Source organism: Homo sapiens, chromosome 21, assembly GCF_000001405.40.
Source record: "Homo sapiens chromosome 21, GRCh38.p14 Primary Assembly".
Lineage (NCBI taxonomy): Eukaryota > Metazoa > Chordata > Mammalia > Primates > Hominidae > Homo > Homo sapiens.
Window position 1 is genome coordinate 30,793,264 of NC_000021.9, and position 24,553 is coordinate 30,817,816.

At 36.1% G+C, this 24,553-nt stretch overlaps 1 protein-coding gene and 2 pseudogenes across 1 annotated transcript; all 3 read right to left on the bottom strand.

Moving 5' to 3' along the window:
- On the bottom strand, positions 8,980-9,102 carry KRTAP8-2P (keratin associated protein 8-2, pseudogene; annotated as a pseudogene).
- KRTAP8-3P (keratin associated protein 8-3, pseudogene) lies at positions 13,727-13,837 on the bottom strand (annotated as a pseudogene).
- Positions 19,434-20,011, bottom strand: KRTAP8-1 (keratin associated protein 8-1). The gene has a single exon (NM_175857.4). The coding sequence runs from the start codon at positions 19,955-19,957 to the stop codon at positions 19,766-19,768; it is 192 nt and encodes a 63-aa protein (NP_787053.1). The 5' UTR covers positions 19,958-20,011; the 3' UTR covers positions 19,434-19,765.
- Positions 20,012-24,553: the final 4,542 nt, after the last annotated feature.

Genomic DNA, 24,553 nt, shown 5'->3' on the forward strand with positions numbered 1-24,553 from the left:
ACAACACTATCATTTCAGGGTCATTCCTATCTACCTAGCAGTGGGTGGAATGCTACAAATAAATTCTGTATCTTATTATTTTATTAACTGATTTAAAGGAAATGATAAATCTCATTATCTTTTGTCCTCTTATATGAGTAGAGCCTTTGAAATGGGCTCAACAGTACTACAACTTAACCTCAAAGCATATTTAGTTTTCTTTAATGAGTACAATCGACAGTCTATAATAAGTAGTGAAAAATCTTTTCTTTTTAGCCCCAGATTTAAAGCTATGTACCTAGACTGTGTTCTACTCTGCTCAAACACACTGAAATTTCTTTGCCTTCTAATAAAATCTCAAAACCTGTGATGAGGTGAACCTTCCCCAGAAACTAGAAGTTTCTGAACAAATCTCACTTGAGATAGAAAAGACTCACTCGCTTAGAATGTTGCTGACACACACCTGCCACTTGTCATTTACCATGAAGCTGAACTGCCAGCAGGGTATGTCCAAATGTAGCAATTGCCCACAAGTATTATCCAGAGATATTAGCAGACTCCAGCAAGGTAAATACCAACATTAACTAACACTGCCTTGTCCTGAAACCACAGGATGTGTTTCTCTTTAAAAAGCATCCAGCTAACAAATAGCTTCACTTGCTTTTTCAAAGTGTGCAGGTGTTTTAATGAATATCTGTATTCAGTAGGGATCATGTTAAATTTAAAAACTGCTAGTCTCTGAATTGATTAACAACCCATGTATAGACACCAAAGCCCTGCACAAGAGCCCAAATACAAACATGAAAACCCTGCTCAAGAGGCACATCTGAAAATGAAGGATAGTCCACACTTTAATCTACAATATAAACAAACCTTATCTACTTCATAGTCCTCTGGTCTGGACTTTAAACCTACAAAACTTCCATTCCAGCTCCAGAGTTCTACTTTCCTAGTTGCTTTAATATTATGTCAAGAACCACCAAGTGCTGATATATTTATGAAGAACCACCAAAGTGCTAGTACAATCAATGATATTCTCCAGAATTCCCGTGCAAACATAAGATAAACTATTGGGCTATCATAAATAAAAGTTCAAAAAGTGAATAGAAATCATTAAAAATGTATTAATAAATTCAATAAAAAGAAAAGCCATGTTGTTTTCAAGGCAAAGTTAGAGCCAATGGTAATTTTTAGCATTATATTCACTAACAAAACATATGTAATATGTAATATGAAAACCCAGGTACATTACAGAAGTGGCTGTCAAAATTAGGGTTAGAACTGCATTAAAGCTTGTTAGTATTCAAAGAGCCATTAAAAACAAGATTTGAGTCAAAAAATAACTCAGGGTGGATTAAAGATGTAAATCTAAGACCTGAAATCATACAAATTCTAGAAAAAAAACTTAGGAAAAACTTTTCTGGACATTGGCCTAGACAAAGAATTTAGGACTAAGATCCCAAAAGCAAATGCAACAAAAATGAAGATAAATAAATGGGACCAAATTAAACAAAAAGCTTCTGCACTACAAAAGAAATAATAAAAAAATATTAAACAGACAACCTACAGAATAGGAGAAAGAGATTGGTGTAAAAGTAATTGCAGTTTTTGCTATTTAAAAGTAATGGCAAAAGCCACAATTACTTTTGTACCAACCCAATACTTGCAAGCTACAGTTCCAACAAAGGAAACTAATATACAGATTCTACAAGGGACTAAAACAAATCAGCAAGGAAAAAATAGCAATCCCAATAAAAAGTGAGCAAATCACATGAATAGACATTTCTCAAAAGAAGATATACAAGTGGCCAACAAACATATGAAAAAATATTCAACTTCATTAATCATCAGGGAAATACAAAATAGAATCATGATGAGATACCACCTTACCCCAGCCAGAACGGTCATGATTAAAAAGTTTAAAAAAAATAGATGTTAGTGTGAATGTGGTGAAAAGGGAATGCTTATACACTGCTGGTGGGAATGTAAATTAATACAACCACTATGGAAAATGGTATGGCGATTTCTCAAAGAGCTAAAAGTAGATTTACCATTTGATCCAACAATCCCATTGGTAGTTTGCTGGGTAACTGCCAAAAGGAAAATAATTCATTATATCAAAAAGTTGCCTGCGCATGCATAGTTACTGCAGCACAATTCACAGGTGCAAAGGTATGAAATCAACCTAAGTGCCCATTCACCAATGAGTGAATAAAGAAAACCCCATATACACATTCCATAGTGTATATATACAGGATGGACTAATACTCAGCCATAAAAAAATGAAATAATGTATTTTACAGCAACTTCGATGGAATTGGAGGCCATTATCCTAAGTGAAGTAACTTAGGAATGGAAAACCAAATACCGCATATCCTCACTTACAAGTCAGAGCTAAGCTATGGGTCCGCAAAGGCATGCAGAGGGTATAACGGATGCTGCAGACTCAGAAGGCGGGATGGTGGGAGGGCTGAAGGGAAAAAATTACCAATTGGGTACAATGTATATATACACCATGGAATGTGCATATGAGATTTTCTTTATTCACTCATTGGTGAATGGGCACTTAGGTTGATTTCATACCTTTGCACCTGTGAAAGTAATGGGTACAATGCACGCTATCTCGGTGATAGATATACCAAAAACCCAGACTTCACCACTGCACAATTCATCCATGTAACCACACACCACCTGTACTCCTAAAGCTATTGAAATTAAAAAGAAAGAACTGTTTTGAGACAGGATTTATAGGATTACAAGAAACATTTTGGCAAGTATCTGAATGTGATCTTCCTCAACACTGTCGTGGGTTTCCTCTTTGCTCTCTTGCCCAACCCTGACTCTTGTCAACCATTAGTGAAAAATATTTATTGCCGCTCACTTCCCATGTGGCAGTGTTTAACCTGTATGTCATGTTACCCAAAGGGTTGGTGTCACCATTTTACTGATGGACAAAACAATGTTTAGCTCAACCAGCCAGTCAATTTAGAGGAAAGGTCACTACCATTTGATTACCTTTTCTTCTCACCCTGCTGGCAATTGCAGTGTTTTTATTTTTTTCCTTCAGTTGAGCTGTGATATGGGTCATGAAGAGTGGCAAGAATCTTAGGAGAAACAGAATTTTAAAAAATAGATTTTCAGAATATGTATTAGTTTTTAAAACAAAACACAAATATATTCATAAATGTGATATTCTACAGGAAAATCTATATATTATTCATGGAAATCTATATCCTTAATGGTCTATTGAGTGGTAAAATTTATCTGAAAATTTATTTCTAAGCCAGTTCCTATATAATAAGAATAGTAAAAGTTTCTGCTAGAGTGTAGGGGAGAAACTATGGACACAAAGACCTAGAGATCAAAATGGTATTAGATATCTCAAAAGCAAAAATGAAAGCCAGAAAAAAAAAGGGGGCAAGTTTTTCAATAAAATGAAAGAAAATTATTTCTAACCTAGAAATCCAGTCAGTCTATAAACTGTCAGGTTAAAATAAAAATATTTTTAGACATGCGGGATCTCAGAAAGTTTACCTGAAGAGTTACTAGTTCAGACAAATGCTATAGGATGTGCTCCACCAGAAATTAACAAATACAAACACAAATTCAGGCAGCGGATGATATTAAATGGAGTGGCAAAGAGGATTTGAGGCAGGGCGCAGTGGCTCACGCCTGTAATCTCAGCACTTTGGGAGGCCAAGGCGGGTGGATTACTTAAGGTCAGAAGTTCTAGACCAGCCTGATCAACATGGCTGAAACCCGTCTCTACTAAAATTACAAAAATTAGCCAGGCGTGGTGGTGGGCACCTGTGATCCCAGCTACTCAGGAGGCTGAGGCAGGAGAATTGCTTGAATCCAGGAGGCAGAGGCTACAGTGAGCTGAGATCGCGTCACTGCACTCCAGCCTGGGCGACAGAGAGAGATCCTGGCTCAAATAAACAAATAAATAAATAAACAAAGAGGATCTATGCTATGCAGCCAGCCTAAAGGGCAGCAAACCTGATTGGACAGGGCACAAAAGGACAGTGAGCTCCAAAAAGAATATTTCTAGCGCAGAGATGGAACCAGTGGATTTTCCAATGTGTATAATCCTACAGTGAGAATTTTACAATTCTGTCAATGAATTTAAAGATGGTTTCTTGGTGGAAAACTTAGGCAGTTATTAATTCATGGAAAGGAAATGCTATACCAATGCACCAAGGATTTGGGGTAAGTATGTGAATACTTGTTATATAGCCCTGGCTGGTCTCAAACTATACCAATACTACAGTATATACACAGTAAAGACTACTGTGATATTACCATATGGGAGATTGTGAGAGGGAAACTGCATGTGTCTTGGGTGAAGCGTATGTTTTTTAAAATCCTCATTTCACAAAATAGGAAGTTAGTAAATTATGTGCAAAATTGAGGAAACAAAAAGTACAGAATAAGACTATTATGGACAAATGATTAAGTATGGAAAAAGTCTAAAATACTTGAAGGTGGGTTACTACTGCACAGAATAAATCAAAGGTAAGAAGCCTCTATTTTTGTTGTCTGCTTTTTTGTAGAAGTTACTTTTGAATCATCCATTTAATACTTTTATTATTTTTAATGTTAATTAATACTTTTTGAAGATAATTTTAACTAGAAATAAATGCTATAAAACAGGGTAATGAAGACGGGGCCTCGGAAAGGTATCTTCAGAATCCATTAGGACATGGTATGAAAGAAGAAGGTTATTTTAATTGCAATGGCCTAGCATTGAAGAATAACATGTGTTCCGAACCTTAAAAATACTTCTGACATTTGATTTAGTATCCTGGCTCTAACTGGAGTCTAAAATAAGCAAATAATCAAAGATGGGGTTACTGATTACTTAGTAAATGTTCATTAAAATATTACTTTAAATGATAAAGAATTGAAAGCATCCTAAATATATAAAAATTGAGTTAATATTAATAAAACATGCTGCATTTATACAGAATAATATGGTGCAGTCATTTTGAAATAATATATAATTACATAGGGGAGTATTCAAAATAATCACATTACAAAGAATACAAAAATTAGTTTTTCTATATTTTATAATTATTATTTTACTAAAGAAATAATACTAGTTACTCCTAAGTAGTGAATAATGTGTATGTTTTTTCTAACTTTGTTTTCCATACTGTTTGCAATGAGCAATTATGGATAGAAAAAAACAATGAATGTTTTTATTTTTCTACCAAAGTAACTCAGAGTCCAAATTCCTGTAATCTTTTCTTATGGAGCTAAATTTCTTTTTTTAAATAGTTTCTAATGTTTTTCTCTAGAATATTCCTTAATTTTCTATATTCTTAATAAAATTCAGATGATAAAATAGAATCAATATTCTCATAAGAGTTTGAATGATGCTATACAGTGGAAGAATTATCACCTCCCATATGTCCTACTTGTATTAACTCCCATATGTACCAGGGTTTTTTTAAAATTATACATCATGTTGCTGATTCATCCCTAGTGTGCAATGGTTTGGTTTCTGAAATATTTCCCCAAGCCAGTGTTTCTCCATTCTTTACCGGGCCCTGCCTCTTACTTGTTCCTCTCATGCCAACTTTCACTTTTGCTGATTGCCTTGTTTAGGTAGCCTTCAAAATCTATTTCTAACCTTCAAGGTTTGGGAATACCACTTGGTCTCACAACACTGGAAAAATGTGGTCAGGTGCAGTGGTTCATGCCAATAATCTCAGCATTTTGGGAGGCCAAGGTGGGAGGATCACTTGAGGCCAGGAGTTTGAGACCAGCCAGGGCTATACAACAAGACAGCCTCTACAAAAAATAAAAAAAATAAAAATATATCCAGGGGTGGTGGTGTGCACCTGCAGTCCCAGCTTCTCTGGAGACTGAGTGAGGAGGATTGCCTGAGCCCAGGAGTTAGAGGATGCAGTGAGCTATGATCGTACCACTGCACTTCAGCCTGGGTGAGAGAGCAAGCCTGCCTCAAAAAAAAAAAAAAAAAAAAGAATAAAAAAGGCAACTGTGTGATGAGCATGTCTATTTCTTTGTCTAGATCAATGAATCTCAAAAGGTAATTCAAACATCACTCATTTTGGAATCATCTTGTACTATAGTAATTAAAAATGCAGATAAATAGGCTGCACCCCCCAGACTACTGAACCAGAACCTATGGAGGGAGAACTCTGGAGTGTTTATTCTTTAAAAGCGTGGCTAGAATTCTTACACATGCTCAAATTTGAGAAACACAGAATCCAGGTTATTATAAAATAAACTTCACATATTTTTACATATGTGCCAAATTGATAAGCTACTTTCAGAAGCTGCTAGATTCTCTATCCCCACACTTCTCTTTCAATTACAGACTAATCATTCTAGAAGTTTATCCCTACTCCAGATTCTGGAAGAAGTTCTGCTCTTACCCTATTTGCAGAGACAGATTCAAGAAGGTTTGCAAACCCTATATAGGACAAACCCAGAGAAATCTATTTCAAAGCATTATATACTGTATCATTGTACTTATATCACCTTGTCAAAAAGACAAAAACTATAGTGATCGAGAACAGATCAATCACTTTTCAGAGTTAGGGAAGAAAGTATTACTAAAATGGAATAGGACGACAGAGTTTGTTTGTTTTTTTTTCTGGCGGGGGATGGGGAGGGTGATGATAGAATTGTTCTACATTCTGATTGTTATGGTAGTTACACAGATATACTTAAAAACATATTAAACTATACAACTTCACTGTGTTGATTTTTTAATTTAAATCTTATTTTATACAGAATTTTCACAAAGATATAAAAATTCTTCATTTATTTAGATGTTCTAGATCATATTCTTGGATAAAGTTACATTTTTCAGAGAGCTTTATATCTACATTACATTGTTTTACTACGTCCACAAATGTCTTGTAATAGATTTTGCTTTGATATTGCCCAATAGGCTGGCATCGAAATAAATTATAAAAACTAGACATTAGAAACGTATTATTATGTTAATTCTGGCAGTGTTAAGATGATATTTAATGATGATGATAATGATGATAATTTCTAAAAAGAAGATTATTTCACAAGAACAGCTAATTGGATGAGAGGCTGTGAGAGCACAAAGTTAGGGAGATGGGGAATATAAGTGTTATTCTGGGGACTACAGCGCTTCCAGGGTTTGACTACCTGAAGAAGTGAATTCCTCTGCCATTTGTCTTCCATATCTATTTTTAAGGTGTCAAGTTTGCTGATTCAGGAATAAGCCAAATGTGAAGTGTGAAGTGTGATTTGCCATAATGAAATTCACCTTTCTTGACCTTTTCTATTTAAAATAATTTAAAATGTATTTTTGTCTTCCTTCATGCAGCAAATTGAGAATACTCAAGAGAATACATTTTTCTCAGCTTTGTGTGTGAGGCAAATACCACCCTGGTATCACTGAGATTTCTTTTAACTCACAACTTTCTCCTTTTGTTATTAATGGTTTCACCACTAAAGTCATACAGAACACTCAAGAAATAAGCCACATAAACATAAAATACACCAAAACCAGAATATGATAGACATAGAAGCCTTTATTTATTTATTTATTTATTTATTTATTTATTTATTTATTTATTTTTGAGCTAGGGTCTCACTCTGTTGCTTAGGCTGGGGTGCAGTGGTGCAGTCATGGCTCACTGCAACCTTGACCCCCTGGGCTCAAGCGATTCTTCTACCTCAGCCTCCTGAGTATCTGGGACTACAGGCACCCTCCACCACATTCAGCCAATTTTTTAACTTTTTGTAGAGACAGGTTCTCACTATGTGGCTCAAGCAGGTCTCAAATTTCCAAGCTCAAGGGATCCTCCCTCCCCAGCTTCCCAAAGCACTGGGATTATAGACATAAGCTACTGTATCTGGCATTTTTAAATTTTTTGTTGTCTAAGTTTAAGGTGTACATGATGATGTTTTGATATACATGTAGACAGTGAAATGATTACCACAGTCAAACCACTTAATATATCCATCATCTTACATAGTAACGTTTGTGTGTGTATATATTTGTATGTGGTAAAGCATCAAAAATCTACTCTATTAGCAAATGTTCAGTGTATAATACAATCTTATGAACTATAGTTCACAGGTTGTACATTAGTTCTCTAGGATTATCTATCATACATAACTAGAAATTTGCATCTTTTGACCTATATCTCCCCATTTCTTTCCCTTCTATTCCCCTGGTAACCACTCTCTGTTTCTCCATGAGATCATGCAATATTTTTCTTCCTTTGTCTGGCTTATTTCACTTAGCATAAATGCCTTCCAGGTTCATTCAAGTTGTCATAAATGGCAGTGTGAGGAGGATTATAAATTTTAACATAGCTTCTGTGCATTGATTCTTCTATTTGGCATTATAAACATTGAACCAGAATAAAGACAACAGGAAACCAAAAAGTATTCTTCAAAAGCTAAAACTTTATTGAGTTGCATAACATGTTGGAGATCCAAGCAGTTAGGTCTAATTTTAACCCCCAGATTTCTTACTCAAGAGTATAATATGAATAAGAAGAATGAAAGAAGAGCATCATGCAAATTCACCATGGCCTATTTACTTCTTCCTTACAACATCCATTTAGTGGATGGAATGCTTAGAATAGCAAACCATTAACTTCCTGCAAACTGCAGTAGGAAAATATATCCTTAAAGAATGAATCAAGAGGAAAGAAAAAAAGTGAAAATCACATTTATATGGCTGAGTTAAGCATATTTATTATAATATGGAAGTCGGTAAAATAAAATTCACCTAAAGTTAGGGGGAAATCAAATCCACTGGGGGAATGTAAAATACAGTACAGTATTCTATCGGGAAAAACTAAAACTTCTATTAAAGTTCAGCCCACAAAGTTCATTATCAGTCTACTTTGCACAGTTCAATACAGAGAGAATCTAAAATTCACATTTTATCACCTGGAAGGCTGTCAATAAAACATCTCTTCAAGTTTGATTCCTTAGGACACTGATTATAATACAGTTCCCTTTGTCAGAACTTAATAGAGGTCTAGTGTCCAATATCTTCTGTCATCAAGTGGCCAGAAGCCAGCATAGCCATATCCAAAGTCCCCACCCCCTGGTGAACAGGTGCTAACACATCCACAGCCAACACCATCTCAGGGGAGAACCACAACTGCCCTAGTAGGAGCCAGGGGAGATGTATCATTGAAGAGGCCAAAGGACTTCTTGTTAGTTGGGTGTTTAGTACAAAGACTACTAAGAATGACTTACTCCATCTGCCCGAAGTTTTTCATACACCCCCAGTAAAGGGTGTGGCATCCGCATTGCTCTTAAAATTGTTTGAGGTTGACTGACTGCCTAGTGTCCTTTTAATGAGTTTAGTCCCTACAATGAGAAGCTACAGAAATGCTACCAAAGTCTTTGGTAAAAGCAGATTCCCAGTTTATCCATCAAAAATCAGGCTTCTAAACAACTAGAAACATTCTTACTATATTGCCTAACATTGCTTGTGAGATTACAGACAATTTGGAGGCACACAAAAGGGATTATTAATACTATCTAAACTATGAGGTTAAATATATGCAGATTTTTCTCCTAAGAAATTTTGATATGTGATTGAGCAAACTACGGCTGCTTTCAAAACTAATGCAAATCTTCTGTTAATCATATTCTATGTCATCCACAAGTATTTCTTTCTTACTGAGAATTTATTCCACAATTTAACTGTAATTTATTTTTTGTTTGGTGATTGTTTTATATTTTTATCAATTATAAGAAAATATATTTTATACTTAAGAGTATTTAATACATTTTCAAGAATAGCCACTACTTTCACTAACTTTTTTTTTTTTTTTGAGACGGAGTCTTGCTCTGTCACCCAGGCTGGAGTGCAGTGGAGCAATCTCGGCTCACTGCAAGCTCTGCCTCCCGGGTTCACACCATTCTCCTGCCTCAGCCTCCCAAGTAGCTGGGACTACAGGTGCCCACCACCATGCCTGGCTAATTTTTTTGTATTTTTAGTAGAGATAGGGTTTCATTGTGGTAGCCAGGATGGTCTCAATCTCCTGACCTCGTGATCCACCTGCCTCGGCCTCCCAAAGTGCTGGGCTTACACTACACTACTTTCACTAACTTTTTAATTAATTTTCAGTTTCTTCAATGTTCCTCTTTTGTCATGGAATTATGAACCATGTTTAGGCTCTAACTTTATTAAATAACATTGATGTTAAGGTCTACCAGGTATGGGAAAATAAGTAATAAGAATAGTGGAGTGTTTCACAGAATCAGCCACATCAGATAAAATGTAAGTGTAGTTTCCTTCAGTAATCAACTCTCAAGAAACATGACTTTGTGGAGGAATCTCTTACTCTTCCAGTTTCCATCCTATATCTGACTAACTACAGTCCTATAACCAGAAAGAGAAAAGCACATCAGAAATATGCACATTAGCCTTTCAACAGAAACTTAAAGAATCTGTGAACACATTCTACATCTTACTTATATTAAACATTAAGCCAACTAATTTTCACTACTTTAACTGTTCCCTAAGATATGATCAATATTATTGGGAAAAGGCCCAGTGAAATGACACAAATAGGAAAAAAAACTCCCAGCATCAAAGTCAAAATTTAATACAAAATACAAAAATTAACTCAAGATGGATTAAAGACTTACATGTAAGACCTAACCCCATAAAAACCTTAGAAGAAAACCTAGGCAATACCACTCAGTACATAGGCATGGGCAAAGACTTCACGACTATAACACCAAAAGCAATGGCAACAAAAGCCAAAATTAACAAATGGGATCTAATTAAACTAAAGAGCTTCTGCACAGCAAAAGAAACTATCACCAGAGTGAACAGGCAACTTATAGAATGGGAGAAAATCTTTGCAATCTACCCATCTGACAAAGGGCTAATATCCAGAATCTACAAAGAACTTAAAAAAAATTTACAAGAAAAAAAACAACCCCATCAAAAAGTGGGAAAAGGATATGAACAGACACTTCTCAAAAGAAAACATTTATGCAGCCAACAGACACATGAAAAAATGCTCATCATCACTGGCCATCAGAGAAATGCAAATCAAAACCACAATGAGATACCATCTCACACCAGTTAGAATGGCGATCATTAAAAAGTCAGGAATCAACAGGTGCTGGAGAGGATGTGGAGAATAGGAACATTTTTGCACTGTTGGTGGGACTGTAAACTAGTTCAACCATTGTGGAAAACAGTGTGGCGATTCCTCAAGGATCTAGAACTAGAAATACCATTTGACCCAGCCATCCCATTACTGGGTATATACCCAAAGGATTATAAATCATGCTGCTATAAAGACACATGCACATGTATGTTTATTGCGGCACTATTCAAAATAGCAAAGACTTGGAACCAACACAAATGTCCATCAATGATAGACGGGATTAAGAAAATGTGGCACATATACACCATGGAATACTATGCAGCCATAAAAAAGGATGAATTCATGTCCTTTGTAGGGACATGGAGGAAGCTGGAAACCATCATTCTGAGCAAACTATTGCAAGGACAGAAAACCAAACACTGCATGTTCTCACTCATAGGTGGGAATTGAACAATGAGAACACTTGGACACAGGGAGGGGAACATCACACACCAGGACCTGTCAGGGAGTGGGGGGCAGGGGGATGGATAGCATTAGGAGATATACCTAATATAAATGATGAGTTAATAGGTGCAGCAAACCAACATGGCGCATGTATACTTATGTGACAAACCTACAGGTTGTACACATATACCCTAGAACTTAATGTACAATGAAGCACACACACACACACACACACACACACACACACACACAATTATTCAAAATGTTACCTAATTTTTTTTTTTTTTTTTGAGATGGAGTCTCACTCTGTCGCCCAGGCTGGAGTGCCGTGGTGTGATCCCGGCTCACTACAACCTCCGCCTGCCAGGTTCAAGTGATTCTCCTTCCTCAGCCTCCCGAGTAGCTGGGACTACAGGTGTGTCCCACCACACCCGGCTAATTTTTTGTATTTTTAGTAGAGTCAGGGTTTCACCGTGTTAGCAAGGATGGTCTCGAGCTCCTGACCTCGTGATTCACCTGCCTCAGCCTCCCAAGGTGCTGGGATTACAGGCATGAGCCACAGCACCCAGCCACCCAATACTTTAAAATACCCAATTGTTCAGAAAAGTATAGCAGAAGATAACATGGAGCTTGTTGTATATTTTGGAAGAGTTAATGAAAAGACTATATTCAGATTTTCATTTAACCCTGTATTGATTATTTATCATACTTAAATTCACTGTAGTACAGGGATTTGAATCATAAAAAGAATCTTATTGTATCTAACATTAGGCTGTATCTAACACTAGGTAGAAGAGCAAAGTGTTGACCTTAAAAGTGAAAAATTTACTAATGTGGTTTTTTTTTATTTTCTTCAATGAAGTGTATAAGACGTTCAAGAATATAACCCAACCTTGCATAGACTTGCTTACATTTCTGGTTTTATCACTTATTAGAGTGTAATTTGGTTACTAGGTAATACAATGGAAGGACCACAGTAGTAAAATCAGATTTGAACTGTGGTCTGAAATCTACATATTGTTTGTCTAACTTTTGATACTAACACCACATTCTGTGCCTCAACTGCAAAGTTGTACAGAAGATGTAACCACCCCATCTAATTCCTGAGATTTTCTGAAGCTCTAATAAGAAACAGTGAAATCATAAAATACAATATAAATGCATGTTAAAATCATTGTTTTCTTTCATCCATCCCAAATCTAACTCATAAAAGTGGTTCATGAAACTATTCCATATTTGTTTGATGGATCAATATGTTTAATAGTCTAAGCAGTGTTTTACAGGTATATCACATACCGAATCTCCTAGAAGGAGATTTATGTGTTCGCAAAACACATATCGCTGACTTCACAGGTCTCGATGGGTGAGGAGGAAAGAAGGCAGCTTGAAAATTTGCTTTCTGAAAATGTTCCCGGTTAATGCTGATCTCAATGCTGATTCAGGCACCACACATTGGAAAACATGGTTCTAGAGATGAGATAAAATTAAAGAGAATAGCAAGATATAAAAATATATGTGCATAGTCACATATGTTTTTGTGAATATTCAATTAACTTTTTAATTGAATTTCAAATTAAACACGTATGCAATTATACTTCAGTATATACAGTCATTCTGTACTTATTATTTAAGATCCAAGGTAGATTGGTTTGATTTTATTATTGGGCTTTGGATACTAATATATAAATTAAACTTACCTGGACATCATCAATTTCTCCTTTCAGATAACCCAAGGTTAACATCTTTTGGTAATATTTTAAAGTCAGTATTCATTTTACTAAATTTAAAATATTATTTTTATTGTAAAATATAAGTGAAAATACGACCACTGTAAACATATTTACACAAGAAAACATATTCAAACCACATGTCCCATCCTATGTTAATTCAGGTAAGTTTTTTTTTTTTAAACAGAAGCATTCTCATATTTCAAAAAAACATCACAAGCCTAAATGAGGAACTCCTGGAAAAGTTCAGACACAGGCTGAAGTAACACATCTTGAAGTGAACCTGATCCACTGTAAGCAGAGGCTGGATTTGCTCAAGGAGCACCTTGGAACTCAAAGAAAAGTAGAATCAGACTGAAAAAAAAAAAATGCCCCAGAAGTGATAAAGTATTCGATAAGCAGATTAATCAATAAACTCCTGTTGCCGGTCTCTTTTATAGCCAAGTAGCTGGTGTCCTCTGCAGCTATAACAGGCGGAGGACGGCAGGTAAAAAGGTGCTGCCATCGCCACAGGCATCACTGTGGCCCAGGGAATACCCATAACTTCCCAGCAGCCATTTTGGTAGAAGTTCTTAGGGAAGAAGTTCTATCACATTGTCCAAGGAATAAAGGTTTGATCAGGCAGCAAACTCAATAGTTATAGCACATAATAGGATCCTTTTACCTTCGTGACTCATATAACCTCACCAGAGGCTGTGATGAAGAAATGCACCTCTTTCCTTTTTTAGATCAAGGGAATTAGTATTCTCATTAATTTCCTAGATCTCCTTGAAAAAAAAAAAAAAAAAGAGATCCTCATTATTCTTGAAAGAAGTTTGAGCTGAATTAACTGCCAAAGCTGAAGAAGGATTCTTCTTTGTGGGTTTTTTTTTTTCCTGTAATGAGAAGTTACTGCAGTGTCTTCAAAGTCTTTGGTTAAAATAGACTCCAAGTTGAATCCTCCAATTATTAGATGTCTCAAGAACAAAAAATAATGCCAATTGCAATAGCAAACTGTGCTTTTGGTCTGCAGGAATTTACTAAACGTCCTCATGCTTCATAAAGCCCCATACCAGGATTTGAAGTAGAGATATTAAAGAGTTTGTAGACCTAACAAACCTTTCATATTAGAAACAAAGGCAAAGCAGAAAAGCCTACAGTCAACGTAAGTCTATGCAGCTAAACGCCGTAGTTAGAAAAGCTTTAGTGGATGCAGTGAGGCAGGAATAATAGTAGTCGTTTGCGTATATATAAAATGTCACAGATGAATTATACTTTAAGTTCTGATGTTAGAACCAGTGAGAGTGTGGCATAGTACTTATAAGCTACAAAAGCAAAATTTGACAGCTGACGAGGAAGCACTAAGATCTGGGACGAGCCCTATAGCGTGCCTCTTTTCTACTTCTTTTTTCACTGGCTTTCTATCTCTGGGCTGTGCAACTTTGAAGAGCTTACTCATCCCATCATTCTAAGGCAAGGCATAAAGTCATTTTTGACATTTATGAAAAAAATGTACTTACAAATACTCTCTATTTGATATCTCTAAAATCTAAGGGACACAGTGAAATGAATGTCACTAAGAGAGCTGGGGAAAACAAAATTTCCGCATGATGTTATTGCTTCAGACTCTCAGTGGATCCTGACCTAATGGCATCTATAGCCTATCCTGACATCTTGGGAAGTCATTTCTGGACTCATAGTCTACACATTCATGGGCTCTCTCTTGGATATCACAAAAAATCCCAGGCAAATAGTGCTGTGTTCATGGTTTAAACAAATGATTTCCATGGCTCTCATTGCCAAGATTAAAGATCTTAATTTGAAAAACATAGCAGCCTCTTTGTTTCATTCATGATAGTTTTATTGAGGAGATAGTATGAGTTCAATGTTGTGCCTTATTTTGGGAACACGACAAAGCAGGTCCCTTTATGGAGTGTGTGTTTTCAGTTCTATAGGATGCCACTGGAGTGGATTCTGGTTAGCAGAGAGGCAGGTGGCAAGGCTTCAGCATCCAACACACCCAGATTAGAAACCCCATTCTGCCATATTCTAGCTTTGAGACTATGAACACGTCATTTGAAATTTCTGAATTCCAGTTTCCTCAAGTGTAAAATGGGGATAATAGAACCTGGAATAAAACCAACCTCATGGGGTTGTAAAGAGTAATGATGACCCACTGCAGGCCCAGAAATAATATTGGTTATTTTTGCCTTTTCCCTAATTATGTTTGCCTTTGAAATGACTGAAAAATTATACTGGACTACACTTGAAATGATGGCCTAAAATCTTAAATAAACCAAATTGAGAAGATAATCTGCATCATAAGAAATTAATAAGATAAAAATATGTGCTTACCAAGCATTTAGCTCAAAATTAATTATGCTGTTCTAAAGATGTATACAAAGAGGAGTGAGTTGGTTGGCTGGTTGGTTTTTAAGTATGATTTTCTTGCACATGTGCCATCAGAAATCTGTGGGTTGAACCTGTGCACTGGGCAAAAGCTATACACTTTGGATGGCTCTGAGAAAGGCCAACATTCGTCTTAAGGAAAATTATGGGAAACCAAAAATCACCCATATGCGTATGAAGCATTTTTAGTTTCTGCTTTGCCTACTGTGTCTAAAGTTATTGACAAAAGAGCAAGAAAAGGCTTTTCTGCATGAGAAAAGACCTACACTTTGGGTAAAATTTACTAAATACCAGCATCATGTATTTATTCTTCAGTGTTTTATGTTTGCGTCCTTTTCTATCTTTACTGAGAAGAGCTCTGATTTATAAGGCATTTGATAATCTTCCTGAGGTATCCACTGTGGTTGAAAGCTTTTGGGGGGGCTCTGGAAAGAAGGGCCAGTATGAATATTTGGGAAAGGTTGACTTCTTTTGTCAACTGACTTCCTACGACTATGAGATTACCCTGTGCTAGGAAGGCTCCTCTTTTGTTCTGACTTCTCGGTGAGAAACTGCTCTCAAATCCGCTTGGGAACTGATCCTACTATAACAAGATCTAAGGGAAGAGAATATAATCTTGAAGAAAGATACAGAAGCAGAAGGGAAGACAGTGCAGGAAAAGAAAAAACAGGAGGAAGGGCAAATTATTTGGTCATTTCTTATATGCAAGAATAATGTGAATATAGTACAGGACTCCCTGCTTTTATCAGATTCACTACATCTCTGCTATCTTCACATTTTTGGATGTCATAATGTTATGGTCAACACCTTTGTTGGATAGTGTCATCAGATACACTGGTCACATGAAGGATGCCACGTGGAGAATGTTTCTCTGCCAACCTTGCAACAGAGGGCAGATGTCAGATCCCTTCAAAACCGCCTTTAGAGAGTACATGAGGAATGTTAAATAGGGTATCACATAACATGTTATCTATCCTACTTAGCCATGAAAAATTCTGTAGGACTCTAAACCTCCCCTGTGAATCAAATGGGCAAATACAAATTAACATATATATATATTCAGTTACCACTGGTGAATTATTACTTCAGAGTAGTCAAGGGACTGGGAAGCCTAATGATAAGGAAAGGAGGTTTAATTCGACTTACTGGGGGTCTCTCTAGAAGATTCTTCTATACATAAGATGCCCTTAATATTCAAATCAAGTTCTCAGTTATATACACTGTATTAAGCAGGGAGATGTTAAAGATATGCAGCCTGGTTTTCAATGAGAAGAAACAAGCAATTAATGGTGAAATAGAAAATCAAAACAATACTTCCTGTGTGACTTTGTGAGATAAATCTAAGTCATAAAATGCACAGACATCAAGCTTCCAGCTCACAAATGGCTATGAATTAAAGAATGGCACTGCACGATGGTAGCAAACAGATGTTTAACATCTTTTTCGTGTTTATTGAGGAAAGTGGTCTGATAATCTTGTCATACATATTGAGTTTCTACTATGTACAGAGCACTAAACTGGGCTCAGATCAATACCAAAGTTGATAAAGCAATTAGAAACAAATACCTAACTACACTCTATACAGACTACCATTAAGCCTAAATGTAGCAGTAAGTGTTCATTCCAGGCTTTTCTTAAATTGACCTGTAACATATTACTTACTGTTTTCATTTTTTATGAATTCTATATAAATATGGAGGAATTATCTTGGTTTTTAAATTCAAAATAAAAGGAGAGAACTAAAAAAGACAGAAAAGAACAGCCATGAAACCAGACCCTGTAATTGTTTTAAATTGATGGCATAAAACCAAATTACTTACAGGGATTTTTTTAAATACAAATCCCCAGACCCCATAGATCTTCCCATCAGAATGTGCATGGGTGGGATCTTGGTATACGCATTTAAAAAGACTGAATTTCAGTTTTTAAAAATAATCATTAAATAATATTAAGTAATGTAGGCACACTAGGAATTTGTACACTTCTATGCAATAGGAGAAAGTGAATTTATAAAATCCTTACATAACATACTTTTTCCTTTTAGCAGGTCATGGCATCTGAGCCTTCAGCACCAGACTACTGGATATCTACCTAATAGATCCTTTCTCTGTCTAAAAATAGTAGACATTGTTACAGCCAACGCAATCTTCAGTTTGGAACTTTCTAGCAACCACACATTAACTCAAGTTGAAAAGTGCTAAACACAGATGTTGTACCTCCTGTACTCCTTTGGGGATGTAAAGTATCTTCTCTCCTCTGTCCTTGTCTTGTTGAGATGTGCTAGACACTTTTTGAGTAAAAGACTTTCCTTTATCAAGACTCAGTGTCATAAATAAATGGTGTGGGTGGGTGGGTAGTGTACATCTGTAATGACCTGAAACAGTGCTTCTTAGAGTGTGGGTCTCAGACCACCTGTACTAGAAGTCATCAGGAGCATCTTAAAAGTTTAGATTTCTAGACCTGATCCCAGATGTACTGAGTCAGAATCCCTAGGGGCAAGGCATAAGAATCTAAATTTTTAAGTCAGCTACTCAGGTAATTCTCCTGCATACTGAAATTTCCAAAACACTAGAGGAGGTGCTCTCTGAGGTCCCTTCAAGCCCAGATTTTTATATAAGTCAGTCATCTTTACAGAACAGACTGATAACCTTCTAGTTTCGATCTGATGCTCTAATTTCTGAAAAATCCCACTTTTCTTTTTCTGTTCTATTTTAACCTGCATGTTTAATTAATTCACAATTCTCAGCATGAATTAACATATGGCTGCTAGAAAGTTGCAAACTGGAGATTTTGTTGGCTGTAACCTTGTCTACTATCGCTAAAAAGGAAAACAATCAATTATTTCCCGATTTTTTAAAAAAGATATACATTAGATAAAGTATGGTGGAGAAAATACTCTCTTCTGAAATGACCTCGCCAAATAGTCTTTATGTTTTTAACTACGAAGTGAACCATATGCAATATAATCACTTGCACATATTCAATAAAAAAGCAGGGTTAAGCCAAATTTTGTTACCACCAAGAATATTTGTACTATACATAAGATGTTTTCAATAGAAGGATTGAGACTTTTTTTATCTGGCTTATAAAAGGAAATTGCTCCCTTCCCTAAAGGAACACAGAGAAAAGCTGATACATCTTCAGAAATATTCATTACAGCTCATATCTTTTAAGTGAAACTCGCTATCTGGTGTTGATTCTATAAAGATTAAGAAACTTGTCATGGTTGTGAATAACCCAGGTGCTTCAAAGCTACAAAATAGACACCTTAGATGGTTTGATATAGGGGATTTATCCCTTCACCTTAAAAACTCTCAGATTTCCAAAGGATGTCTGTGGCTTCTCTATTACTCAATGCTCCAGCATCCTTCATTAGGGGGCATGGCACTTTAGTCTATAATCCTTAGTCCCTGGGAAAGGGAACACAGTGGATTTCATTTGGACTAACATGGAAGTGACTGAAAAAGTTCCTCCTGTGTTGGGTTTTCTTGCGGAGGAGCAGAAGTAGTGAGATGAGAAGGGGACCCCGAGCAATAAATGGTGCTCCATTGGGTTGGAGGTGGGCATCATAAAATTTAAAGAAGGTTCAAACAGGCAACCTTTTAAGTCATTACCTGCAACCCACCCTCTTACCTGCTTATCACACAGGATCAGTAATTCTTTGCTTTCTGGCTGTTCCTAATGCCCACATGAGAAAAATAAATTCACTTCCCCCCCACCACCCATGTAACAGAAAATATGCACACACCAAGAAAGGAAACTTCGCTCTAGCATGAGAATATTATACCAGCTGAGACAAATTTATTGAGATTTTGATAGACATATCCATGACTTCATCACAAGTCATGAGTGTCATGGAAAATTCAAAAGTAGCTCATGACAAGTGGGAGGTCAAATTTCCGAAAATGTCCCAGAGAACATCAGCCAGGGGAGGCAGCTTGAGGAAGCGTCTGCTTTTTCATTTTCCTCCCCTGGGACTCGAGGTAAGTTGGAAAGCAGTGTCTCTGAGGTTGATGAGCAAATGAGGACTGAAGGAGTGGATACGGGGGGAACCTGGAGATGTGGGGCTCAGCCTTCAAGGGAGAGAAGATGCTACACCTCGGGGATTTCAGCCAATCAGTAGAGAGCAAATGGCGAGTATCTCCTGTAGCCGAAAGCCCCACAGCCGTTGTAGCCATAGCCGAAGCCATAGCCCACTGGAGAGTAGGTGCTGCCATAGCCACAGCCAACGCTATATCCCAGCGGGTAGCCATAGCTGCCCCAGTAGCATCCTGGGAAGACAGCCCCGGGGAAGTTGTCGCAGAGCATGGTGTCGGGAGTGGAGGGCTTAGGTAGCAACAGAGTGCGTTTCCTCAGTGGGATGGATTCCTAGTCTCAGAACCTTCTTTATATATCCCAGCTCTGGTGGGTGGTGAAAAACACAAAGCCCTCATTTTCATTCTTGACACCAATTTACATTCTAAAAAGCTCATTAACTTGTTTTGCTCTTGCTTATGATGTCTTTACAGTGGCTTAAGAAAGCTCTCGTGTGATGCAATACAGGGAGAAGATGCCTTTAAACAAATTATTTCCCTTCCTAAAAAAAAAAAAATTATTGCCAGGACTTCAAAGCACTCTGTCTTATAGACCCCATATAACTCTGTAAGCAGGTATATAATATCAAGAAATATTCTGAGGTTGTTAGCTGTTATGCAGTCCTCTTGCTCTCTGAATTTCCACAACACACAGTTGAAATTCAATAAATATGTGTTAAATACATTAATATATAAAATAACAAATGGATAGTGAGTCTATCTCAAAATTCTCAAAATTAAAGTATGTCTTAGTATTCACCTGCTTCAAGGATTCTCTTTTTTGGAATATGAAAGACAAGTGCAATGGAACTCATGAGAAAGAGTCTTTTTTTTTTCCTCTACTACAGCTACCGTGTTTGGGAAACTGGTTAAAAGTGTAATCTTAATCATAGTCCCCTCCTAAACTATACCTAACATCACATTTCTAGAAGACTACTTGAATTAATAGTATTGAGATTTTAAAACGGAGTATTTGGATTAATCCTTGTACTGAATTGTCAAACAAATTTAATTTTTTGGCCTGAAACATATTTCAAACTAAACATTGAAACTAATAAGGTAAACACAGAAAAATGAATTAAAAAATTTATTGTAAGATTTAAAATTTTTTTTCTCTTAGATCTAATGAAACTAGATTGTCTGACAAATGTGATGATATTATAAAGGGCCAGATGACAACATGAAATCAGTTATTTCACTTTTACAATGATCATGCACCCCAGGATAAAGAAGGAATGTTATTCCTTTCTAAACAGAGAGTCAGTTCTCAAGCATGAGTTAAAGGAGGGATAAGGCTGATCAAAACTATCTTGGATCATGTAAGACCTGATATATTATTCTCAGACACCTGCATTAAGATTTCTTACAGTGGCACTTAGTAGAGAACTTACAGAACAAATACCAAAGAGGGCATATGGAACAGAAATAGGCACAGAGATAATAGGAATCATTCTAGAAGGCCACAAAACAGATATGTATTACACATGAGCTCTCCCAGATTTTACTTCATAACCCAGAGGTAACTTTGCTCCCTGCTATCAGCAGCTAGGAATCAAAGGCTGAATCCAAGAACAAGATGAGACACTTGGAAAATTCAAAACCATGCCAGTGTTCTAGCCAGCAGTAGACTAATTACAGCAGAGGCATTTTTTTTAAATATAGATATATATATAATTTTTTTTTGAGGCAGAGTCTTGCTTTATTGCCCAGGCTGGAGTGCAGTGGTGCAATCTGGACTCACTGCAACCTCCACCTCCTTGGTTCAAGCGAGTCTCCTGCCTCAGCCTCCCGAGTAGCTGGGATTACAGGTGCATGCCACTGCGCCAGGCTAATTTTTGTATTTTTAGTAGAGACAGGGTTTCAGCATGTTGGCCAGGCTGGTCTCGAACTCCTGACCTCAAGTGATCTGCACATCTCGGCCTCCCAAAGAGCTGGGATTACAGGCGTGGGCCACCGCGCCTGGCCTAAATTTTTTTATTTTTAGTTTTTGTGAGTGCATGGTAGGTTTATATATTTATAGAGTACATAAGATGTTTTGATACAGATATGCAATGCGTAATAATCACATTCTGGAGAATGAAAACACCTACAGTACCCTGCTTCGTGAGCAAACCTGGATGGCTGCCTATGGGGATTCAGTAATTAAAATTCAAACACGATATGTGGCTTATAGCTAAACAAGTTCAGGGAATTGAAATTAGATTTATTCCCAAAACATAAAGGTATTCAACCACAGATCATTCCCTAAAAATCATAGAATGATTTACATACTATTTCTACTGGCATCACATTGCTGTGTTTCATGATAGAAAAGCTGGTAATGTTAGGGAAAAAAGAAAAATTAGACAAAAAATAGCATTGTATAATGGATAATTTAAAATTTTTGAATTAATATTGCCAAAGGTCAATTATGTTGCTCTATTTAAAAGAATTCTCCCATTCGCCTACCCAATCTGACAAGATGCTAGCTTTGCCTTCTGCAGCACAAAACCTAGCTCTGAACATGAATAGTAATTAAAATATGTTGTCTTTTTTAAAACTTAAGCCCTATTTACAGAGAATGGCTTGGATTTTCTCTAGAAAGTCTACAGAAAATTCTAACAGAAGAAAATTTTAGGGAAACATATCATTTATCAACAAGTCATTTAAAAATTAATAGCGAAGTTAATCCTATATTGAGCCTATGAAAGCTTTATTCTGATAATAGGCTTATCAAAGAAAGAGCAAGGTTTTCATAAAGCCTGAAAGTATACAATGCTGAAAGCCCTTTTTCTTAAAAAGTATACAATGTAATAAATATAAAATTAAGTACAAAAGTATTTGTTGAGATGCTCAAAAAATCACAAAAAAATTAAACTCCTAAATATATAAAGCAAATATTAATAGACCTGAAAAAAGAAATAGATAGAAATATAATTATAGTACAGAGCTTCAATACCCCATTTTCAACAATGAATGGGTAATCCAAAAAGAAAACCAATAATGACACATTGTACTTGAACTTAGACCAAATGGACCTAACAGACGTGTACAGATAGTCCATCCAACAGCAACAGAATACACATTCTTCTCAAGCACACACAGAACATTCTCCAGTGTATATCACACGTTAGGCCACAAAATAAGTCTTAACAAATGTAAGAAGAATGAAATCATATCAAGCATCTTTTTCAACTATAATTGTATGAAACTAGAAATCAATAACAGGAGGAAAACTGGAAAATTCACAAATATGAGGAACTTAAACATTTCCTGAACAGCCAGTGGGTCAAATGAGGAATGAAAAATATCTCCACACACACACACACACACACACACACACACACACACACACACACACAAAACAGAAAAAAAAAACCAAAATTTTGGAATGCAGCAAAAATTCTAAGACAGAAGTTTATAGCAATAAACTCTACATTAAGAAAAATTAGAATTTCAACTAAACAACATAATTTTATATTTGAAGGAACTAGAAGAAAAAGAACAAACTAAGTCCAAAGTTACCAAGAAAAAAGGAATAAAGATCAAAGCAGAAATAACTGAAATATAATCTGAAAAACAGAAAAGAGCAACAAAACTAAGAGTTGGTTTTTTAAAAGATAAACAAAATTGACAAACCTTTAGCTAGACTAATAAAACAAGGGAAAAGACAAATAAAATCAGAAATAAAAGAAGAGATATTATAACATACTCCAAAAATATAAAAGATCATAAGAGACTACTGTGAACAATTATATGCCAAAATAATTCAATAACCTCCAATAAATGGACAAATTCCTAGAAACGTGCCACCTACCAAGAATACATCATGAATAGGAAATCTTAACAGACCAATAACAAATAATGAGATTGAATCAGTAATAAAATATCTTCCAACAAAGAAAAATCCAGAGCCAGATTGCTTCACCATTGAATTCTATAAAACATTTAAGAAGAGCTAATACTAATCTTTCTCAAAGTCCTTCAAGCAATTAAAGAGGAAGAAACACTTTCAAACTCATTTTATGAGGCCAGCATTACTCTAATACCAGTCAGACAAGGACACTATGAGAAAATAAAATGATAGGACAATATCCCTAATGACCATAGATGCAAAAATACTAGCAAACCAAATTTAAAAGCACATTAAAAAGATCATACACATGATCAAGTAGATTTACCTCTGATAAGCAAGAGTGGTTCAGCATACAAAAATTAATCAGTGTAATATACTTTACACATGAATAGGATGAAGGATAAAAATTATTTGTTCATCTCAATCGATGCAGAGAAAGAATTTGACAAAATTCAACAATCCTTCATGATAAAAATTCTCAACAAATTAGGTATAGAAGGCATGTACCTCAACATAACAAATGAATAAATCAGTAACAGTCTTAGAAATAAAACAAGAAAAAAAAGTGTTTCAATTGCTCCTATTGTTTTTAGGATAATATTTTTTAATCTTTAAACTGACCTAAAAGTTCTCAACTCTCTCTTCGTTAAGTTTTGCTGTCTTTTAGTTCTTCAAACTTCGCATGCTCCTCTCACTCTTAAGCTTTGACACATGCCGTTTGTTCTGTGAGGAATTCTCTTCCTTCCTCTCCTTCTGATCAACTCCCATGCAACCTTCACATGCCAGCTCAATCACTTCCTTTGGGAGGCCTTTCTGCCATTCCTGATTAGCTGGAGCCCATCTGTAGCATAACAGTAGGCCAACCTCTTCCTCGTATCTGTAGGACTTAATCGTAGTTCCTATATAACCTTCACTTGTGTGATGGGTATCTGTCTGCCTCATTAACATGCTTATTTCCAGGAGAGCAAGATAGTATTTTTAATCAGCCTTGATTCC